The 8,007-nt window shown below is 39.8% G+C and overlaps 1 long non-coding RNA gene across 9 annotated transcripts in view; it reads left to right on the top strand.

Annotated features, from left to right (window-relative positions):
- The first annotated feature begins 785 nt into the window (after window positions 1-785).
- LINC02911 (long intergenic non-protein coding RNA 2911) overlaps window positions 786-8,007 on the top strand; it is a 73,031-nt gene continuing 65,809 nt past the window's right edge. For 6 of the 9 annotated variants that reach the window (XR_004837540.2, XR_007065211.1, XR_007065210.1 and 3 more), the window contains exons 1-3: window positions 786-906; window positions 4,292-4,410; window positions 5,346-5,515. This is a non-coding gene — a long non-coding RNA (long intergenic non-protein coding RNA 2911). Of the gene's footprint in view, window positions 907-1,840; window positions 1,907-4,291; window positions 4,411-5,345; window positions 5,516-8,007 lie in introns of those variants that run through there. The other 3 variants (XR_007065207.1, XR_004837539.2, XR_004837541.2) reach the window with 2 other exon arrangements.

Here is an 8,007-nt window from a genome sequence, read left to right as displayed (position 1 = left end):
CCTGTTATTCTCTAAGTCTTCCAGAATAAATTCCAAATTTCCTAGCATGGACTACAACACCCTCTATGACTGGTTCCCTGCTCTGCAACATAGCCTTCTGCTAGTCTCCAACTAGAAATTTATGGTCTACCAATGCCAGAGTACACACCATTCATAAGGCCCTCCCCCTCTTACAAAGACACTGTTTACACCTCCATGCCTTTGTGCTGTTCTCTTTATTAGAACTTCCTTCTATACTCTCTTTTCCTTGCTATTCTTCCTCATTCTTCAAGATTTAACTCATACTTTTTTTTTTTACAGTAAACCTTTGTTTGTAATTCCAGAGTGGTATCTGAGGGAGGTCATGCTTTGTGCTCACATCAGTCTTTGTGCGTAGCTCTCTGCTTATCATAGGACATTGAAATGATCTGATTATGTGTTCTTTTTCCATTAGAAATGTGTGCTTTACAAAGACAAGGACTGTATTTTGTTTATCTCCAAGCACTTAGCACTAGACTTGGCAGCCTACTCAGTAAGTGTGTGTCAAACTGAACCATTGTGTTTCTAGAACCTTCTGACCATGTGATCCATTCATTGGTTCATGAGTGGAAGTCTACTTTGATTACCAGACAAAGGGGAGAACTGGAGTACTTACCAAGCCAATAGAGATTAGCTGGTGGTTGTCTACATATTCAACTGAATAAAAATCTCTATGTTTCAAAAGTCATTTTAACATCTCTTGTGTTGCTTGCATCATAATAGGCATTATGAGCATCCACTAATGACCAGGCAGACCACCTGCCCTCAAAAGATTTGTTTTCTAGAGAAACAAAGCAAAATCTAGGTGCTGCAAGAAAAGTCACAGCCTTGGGGTTTCAGTGAAGAGACAGCCCAAATGCTCTTGAAGTAGTCAGAAAAGTCTACAGGGTAAGAGACACTCCAAATGCCACTGGAAAATGGCTAACATTTTGAAAAATAGAGATAGGGAAGAGGTAAACAGGAAGTGGGAGATGATGCTTTCTAGCCAAAGGAATATCACAGGCAAAGAGATAGCAAAGTCCTGAGTATAGTTAGGTAACATGAGCACTCCTGATAGTTCACAATCTGACCCTAATGTGACTCATCTTCCATCCATTACCCCCACTTCCAGGCTCCAGCCACCTTAATTCCTTTCTCTAATCTAATGGTTCACAAAAGAGTCATCAACAGAACTATTGCTGGGCCACCGATTGCTGGGCCCCATCCCCAGATTTCAGATTTAATAGTTTAAGTGATGCTGTGATCTGGGGCCACGTTTGAGAACTGCTGCAAAACTTCCCTTTTAACACCATCATGGCAAAGACCTGAAGGCATTCTCCCCACTCCCACCCCAGACACCGTAGGAGATGAATTTCAGAGCTCACCCAGAGCCTTGGGCACTTTGCTTCTGGAAGAACAACTGTCCCTGGAAATCACAGCCAACCGTCCATTGGCAAAGCGGCCACCACCATTTCAGTTGCAGAGCAAGGCAGTGCTTTCCCATCATCCTGGCAAATGAAAGACTAACTTAGACCATCTGGTTCTGTAACACCCTCCTACACCACTGCTTAAAAGCAGCCGAACATATTTTCTCTTACATTTTGTCAATAAAATATTGCTCCCCCAGGCTGTCGGCTTGCCACATATGCAGCCCTTAAGCAAAGTGGGAGCAGTTAGTGGTGGCATCAAGAGGACAGCCACAGGCAGAGCCCCTCAGCCTTTTGCTGTTGACTCTCCACAACCCCCTCTTCTTGGAGGCAGATCCTTAAACTGATGCCTCAAAATATTTTTAAAAGCGCAACCAAATATATATGAAGACCTTTCCTGGCTGCCGGGCCTTTTCTGTCCTGTTAATTTTGCTTGGCTTTAAAAGAGTGAAGAATCAATGTCTAGCATTTCCAATGACCAGGTAGAGTGTGTACACATTTATTAAGATTAATTAAAAAGTAACAAATTGTAAAGTAATAACATTAACAACCAGTAGAAAAAGTGTAGACATTTTGACAGTCTTTTTGAATTTCATTAAAAGATGGTAGTGACAAAAACCCCAGAGACTATTTCTACTTTACTAAAGAAATAGGTCACAGATTCAATTACAGTCACTGAAGCATGGACTCAATCTATCATGGCAAATTAAGTACATTTTAGCAACCTACTTTCCTTTAAAAATTTTATAGACACTTTCAGTGGAAGAAGAAAGACTATAGAAAAAAAAAAAGAAATTGCAAAACCAAGTCCCACCCTACTCCCCCTCTAGGCTTTGAGTAAGCATTTGGCTTATTTGCTTTGGGTATAAGACAGAAAATCATTAAGAAATACTCAGCGTGCTCACAATTATTACTCTTCACTCTTTCATGGTTTAATGATGCAGATTTGGAATTGGGAGTGGGAAATGGCTCCAAATTAGAATCGCTAAGTCTTCAAAGTAGGGCTTTGTTCTCCAGGCGGGGCCCCACCCCCCTGCTTTTAAAACAGGACTATTTGTACTCTACAGCTTTTATAATTTTTTTTTTTTTTTTTTTTTTTTTGGCCTTTGAGTCTCAGCAGAACCATTGAGTTCATTTCTGGAAAGATAAACAAATAAATAAATAAGACTTGTGTGGCCTGTGGACATATGGTTTAGCAAAGTGCTGGTACTGGGAGAAGGAAACACCATTTTGCCCATAACAAAACTGGTTTCATGTTGACAACTGACGTTTAGGAAGGGCCTCTTGCCCAGCGGCGAGCAGGGACCATCTTCGAGACACACAGCCACAGTAACCGCCAAGTGTGAAGGACTGAGATCCTTATGTGTGCCCTTTGACAAGTAAGAACCTAGGGCTGGCTGGGGCCTTCAAAACCCAGGGCAGGAGTCTTAGGAATCTTCCTGGCCAGGAAGCCTCAGGAGCCCAGGTGTAGGTCTTGCTCCTTAATGACAGGGCCAGCAAAGCCCCTAGTCAGGTCGGTGCTGGTAGTGCTTAATCTGCTGCAGCACCACCTTTCTCTTAAACTCTGACCGGTCTTTTCCGAATGCCTCTGTGTAATGGGCACAAAGAAGTAAGCAATCGCATGTGCTCCCCAGAGAAGCATTACAGTGCTTCATGCATCTTTAAATTATCTTGCTATTGCCCAATTAAATCAGAACCTCTCGTCGGCCAGGCTGAAGGCTAAATTTACTGATAGAATCTCAGTAGAACTAACTGGCAGAATTAAATTTTTAATTTTAATTGCAAAATTGCAACTCCCTTAGAGATTAGGTTTCACAGCAGCTAGTACTCTTCAAAATATTGCAAATACAGAGGTATTCACAGCCTACTTGCTTGGTAATATCTCTCTTCATAGATAGATAAATGATAGAGATGATAGATAGATAGATGATAGATAGATAGATAGATGATAGATAGATAGATGATAGATAGATTTAGAGATAAATAGAGATAGATAAAAATAGAGATAGAGATAGAACTGAGTCAAAAGCTACCAGGTCTTCTTACAGTACCAGCTCTTTGAAACTACAGAGTTGGTATGTCTACCTGTGTGCTGTTTAACTCCCATCTGTGACACTATTCCTGGAAAGGGACAACAATGAGTTTGGGGATGACTCATGAGACCAGAAAGGCTAAAGACTGGCAGCAAACTGAGGCTGCAGGTTCTCCATATAAAGATGGTGAACTCACATTGGTACTCATGTGCAGTAGCTATACTTGTCCTGAATAGATGAGGGGACAAAAAAAGATGTGTATTTAGGTGGTTGCCTAGCCTCCCACTTAGCTTAAGATGGTGTGCTAGGTACATTTCCTCTATTTGTCCTTCAGCTAAATTGATAACAGTAGCAAAGCCTATTGCAACTTCTGAGTTTAAGCCTGTACTCACTGATGTCCTGGTACAAAAAAACAAATCAAAACAAAACAAAAAATTAATATACCTAAATATATTTATAAATGTATAATATATTCGGTAATGTTTAGCATATAATAATTTAATATGCTAAATACAATTTTACACTGTATTATGAATTACACTCAGTGCAGCGAGATGGTCATACTGTGAAAGGCCCCTGGGAACTGAGACCAAAGGGAGCGTTGTTCCCATCTCAAGTTCACCAGCCAAGTGTAGAAAATGCCTGCAGGATTTAAAGCAAGGTGCTGTCCTCAAGCATTCTAGTTTAGCTGTTCCAGAGTGGGCCAAGTTTTGATAGTTGTTTTTTAAGCTTTGTCAGGTGATTCTAATGTATAGCACGGTCTAGTATCATTGATTTAAATTTTCTTTCTCTTTCTGTATTTGCTGAATTTGTGTAATTTAAAATCACTTTCAGTGTGACTCCCTTATGCCGCTCTCTCCTGCCATTTGGGCAACAGCCAACTTCCGAGGCCAACCTTGTTTCTGGAGAAGCATTCTTCCCACATGGGAAAGGCAAGGATGGTGCTGAGCCTGGTGAGTCTCTGTTCGGGGCCTTTGACTTTGCCTGAACACACATTTACTAAAACTAACAAAGCAAGACAGGAGGTGGGCTGTCCAGAAGGACAAGTGCTTCACTTTATCACCTTCAAAATGATTTTAAACCCCTGAGATCAATGCTGATAAGATGGATATTTGAGATCAATGCTGGACAGTATGAAGCCAGAAACTGGTGGGAAAACCTCTGGAAATACATGAGATACAGCTCAAAACTCTGGATAAAATCCATCTTTCTCTTGTTTGAGTTTTTAAAAGGTAGAATCAGATGGTGCACTAGGCTTGGTGTCCTTGGGAGATGGCCTAGCATAATGGTAGGATTACAGACACAGAAGCTAATTTGTCTGTGTTGAATACTCACTCTGCCACTCACTAAGTGACTTGGGGCAGGATACTTAATTCCCGTGTGCCTCACCTTCCTCATCTGCAAGATGGGGACATTAATCATACCTACCTTATAGGCTAATTCTGAGGATTAAATGATTTAATGCATGTAAATTCCTTAGTCTGGTGCTTGAGACAGATTGTGTGCTGAAGCAATACAGCCATTGTTCTATGTATTATCAGTGGCATTATGTAGGGTAACTAATTGCTGGATGACTCATTCTATGTCTTCAGTTACATTTTCTTTTCCCAGCTTACATAATAGAATAAAACATATATTTTCAGAGGAAAGATATTGACGTTCACCCCTGGTGGATCATCGGTGAGGCAGTATAGGAAAGAGGGCTTGGAACTGGAAGACTTGTACCTTTCAGCTACCTGTGGGTGACTTCGGGTCAACTCCTTGGCATCGTTTGAATCCGAGTTTTATTAAGTTCAAACATAGGTTTTCTTTATTTTCATTGCGTCCTTTGCTGAGATTTTCACTAGGCCTTATGAAAAACTCTTCATATTTATGTCACACTTTACAGATAACTTATAAATCCTTGCAGTCAAGCCTCATGCTAAGATGTTGAAAAACATACTCTTATCCCCAATTTACAAATGAAGAAATGGAAGTCAAGACTTTTCCCAAGGCCACCAAACTGGTTAAGTGGCAAGTACTTAAGGCTCCCAAGTTCAGCAATGTTTCTAATAGACTGTAAGTACACCATTTTCGATAAATGGCATATGGGAACATGCCTAGGAAATTATAGTGTGCAATATAAGTGGTGTGTTTTGTCATTATTTGGGGACTTTCCCTTTGATATTATGTAAAGGGAAGGGTAGCACAGAAATAACAAGCCTTAGTATTATAGTCAGTCACTCATCATTCATTAGCAGTGAAGTTGGTGCCCAGTGACTGAATCCCTATTCCCAGTGTTGACTTAGGACAGACATCATACTATTGATGCCTTTTATCATTTACCCTTCTTTCCTTTGCTGATTTTCACTTCAAGGTGATACACTGCTGACCTATTAAACAGCGATCTTTGTCCGCATGGAAATTAATTAGCTGATAATTGTCTGGAAGATAGAACAGTGACTAAGAGTTTGGAAAGTAGAAGGAAGTTCTCTAGGAAGTAGACTAATCAGAGGTTTTTTGGTTGAGTTATTTCCTTCCATCTGAGTCTCATTCTGTCTTCCCCTCCTCCTGCTCCCTGAGAAGCTCAAATATCTCTTGATGAACTTGGCATAATAACCACACACAGCTGGACGGCAATATGGCTTGAGAAGGAGTGTACTCACAGCCTGTGATGTTAGATGAGCTTCAGTTTATTCAAACTACTTGCTGTGTCAGTCTGACTCCAGGCATCAGTGTGAAAAATGGGAAATTTAGTAACCTATATAGATAGTAATAGCAACAGTCATACCTTGAAATTTTGTAATATTTTTGAAGTTACTATGCACTCACGTTTCAGGCGATTGTTGCCACAGTTTGGTGGAATGGGCAGGTTTATTCTTCTTATTATAGAGTAAACAAATCTCGGACCTGGGGAAATGTTTGACTGGTACTGTTTTACAGGGGCAGACTCATGTCTTTACTAACTCTGCCTTTTTATGTGGACACTAATCTTTTGCCTACCCAGGACAACCACTACCAGGACAAACTATTCATTTATTTTGTAAAAATAGGCCCTCTTTTTGGTGGGGAGCTCTTACATTCCCAACTACAAATATTTGTTTACAGTTACAATGCATTTATCAGACCTTATACCCTGGACATGATTGATTGATAAAGGGCTGGACATCCAACCCAATGTATGCCAATCTCTTCCTGGAATTTTTCAAATTGGAAATAGGAGATAGAAGTTTATAGCCATGGAAGCTTAGACAGCCATGTTTTTCACTATGTTGTGAAAGCTGGTTTGCATGGAAAGAATGAAGCCAGCAAACAGAGAAGCAGAGTTGGGAAAAAGAGAGAATCCTGGTGGCATTGGAGTCCCTGGTCCCAACTGTTCCTAAGACTGTGTCCATTGGGAAAATTCTCCTTCAATAAGGGTTTGTAAGAGCTTTTTCTCTCAAATTCAGCTCTTTTATAAAGTGATGATAGGCATTGCATTTCAGAACCTTTAGCTCTTTAACAAAGTGTGGCAACATTGTCGACTTTTATTAGAGAGTTCTTAATAGTTTATTGTGCAAATGAGGCCAATTAGCCAATCTTGAAAACAGGCATATGGATCCATGTATACCATCTGGGTTGTGCAAAAAGTTCAGAGTGTACTATGTGGAGTGCATTAGGCGAAGATCTGAGAGAGTTGAGATTGATGAAGTGGGAAAATGGGAGGTTGGTGCAAGCGAGCTATATGTAACTGACATCCATTTATTTTGTTAAGGTCAATGTAGAACCTGTTTTTTGGTAGGTATGTCTTTTTTTTCTACAGCATCTTAAAAACTATACATAAAATTCTCATCAATATAATTCTTACATTTGTGAGCATTTACATTAACAAAGCCTTTTATGCACATTCTTGCCTTTATTTGTCACAAAACCCTGTGAGATAGGGAGGTCTTATCACTCCAAACGCTTGTAGTAATGAGGACAGAGGTGCTTGAAAAAATTAGTGGTTGAGGAGACAGAGTGCCCTTGGAGGTTTCATTGGATAGTACTTCTTGAAGATGTTTATATAAAGGACCTAGCAAGTTTTCAACCTAAGTGGATGTTTTTGTTTTTGGTATTTTTTCCCACCTCTTAACACTTGCCTGCTCTAAATGTCTGAATTCTCCAGGGTTACTGAGCAATCCTCTGCTTTTTAGGCATCAGGTGTTGCTAGTGTAATATCTATAAATTTAGTTTTTAAGTTTTCTAAAGCTAATGCTTAAGGCCTTCTTCAGAACATTTTACAATGGTTTATTGCTTTTAAAAAATAATTGTGTATCAACCAGGATTGTTCTAGTACTCTTATAAATTTTTATATATTAAAAGAGACAATGTTTTCTAATTTGTTAAACTCCAAAAAATGTAGATATATTTTATGATTTCTCCATTTTCTCCTTCTCCTGGCTTTCTTTTTGTATAATGTACAGCTCTCCCACTGTTAGCAAGGAAAGTTTGAGTGCAATTGGCTTCAGCGTAGGAATTCTGATTGGGTTAAGACGATAAGTCATGCCTATCTTCCCAGCTGAGATTGGTTCAGGAATGGACCTTTAACC

Source organism: Homo sapiens, chromosome 16 (assembly GCF_000001405.40).
Source record: "Homo sapiens chromosome 16, GRCh38.p14 Primary Assembly".
NCBI lineage: Eukaryota > Metazoa > Chordata > Mammalia > Primates > Hominidae > Homo > Homo sapiens.
Note: the sequence above shows the minus strand (reverse complement) of the source record. Positions and strands in the feature narration are given on the sequence as shown.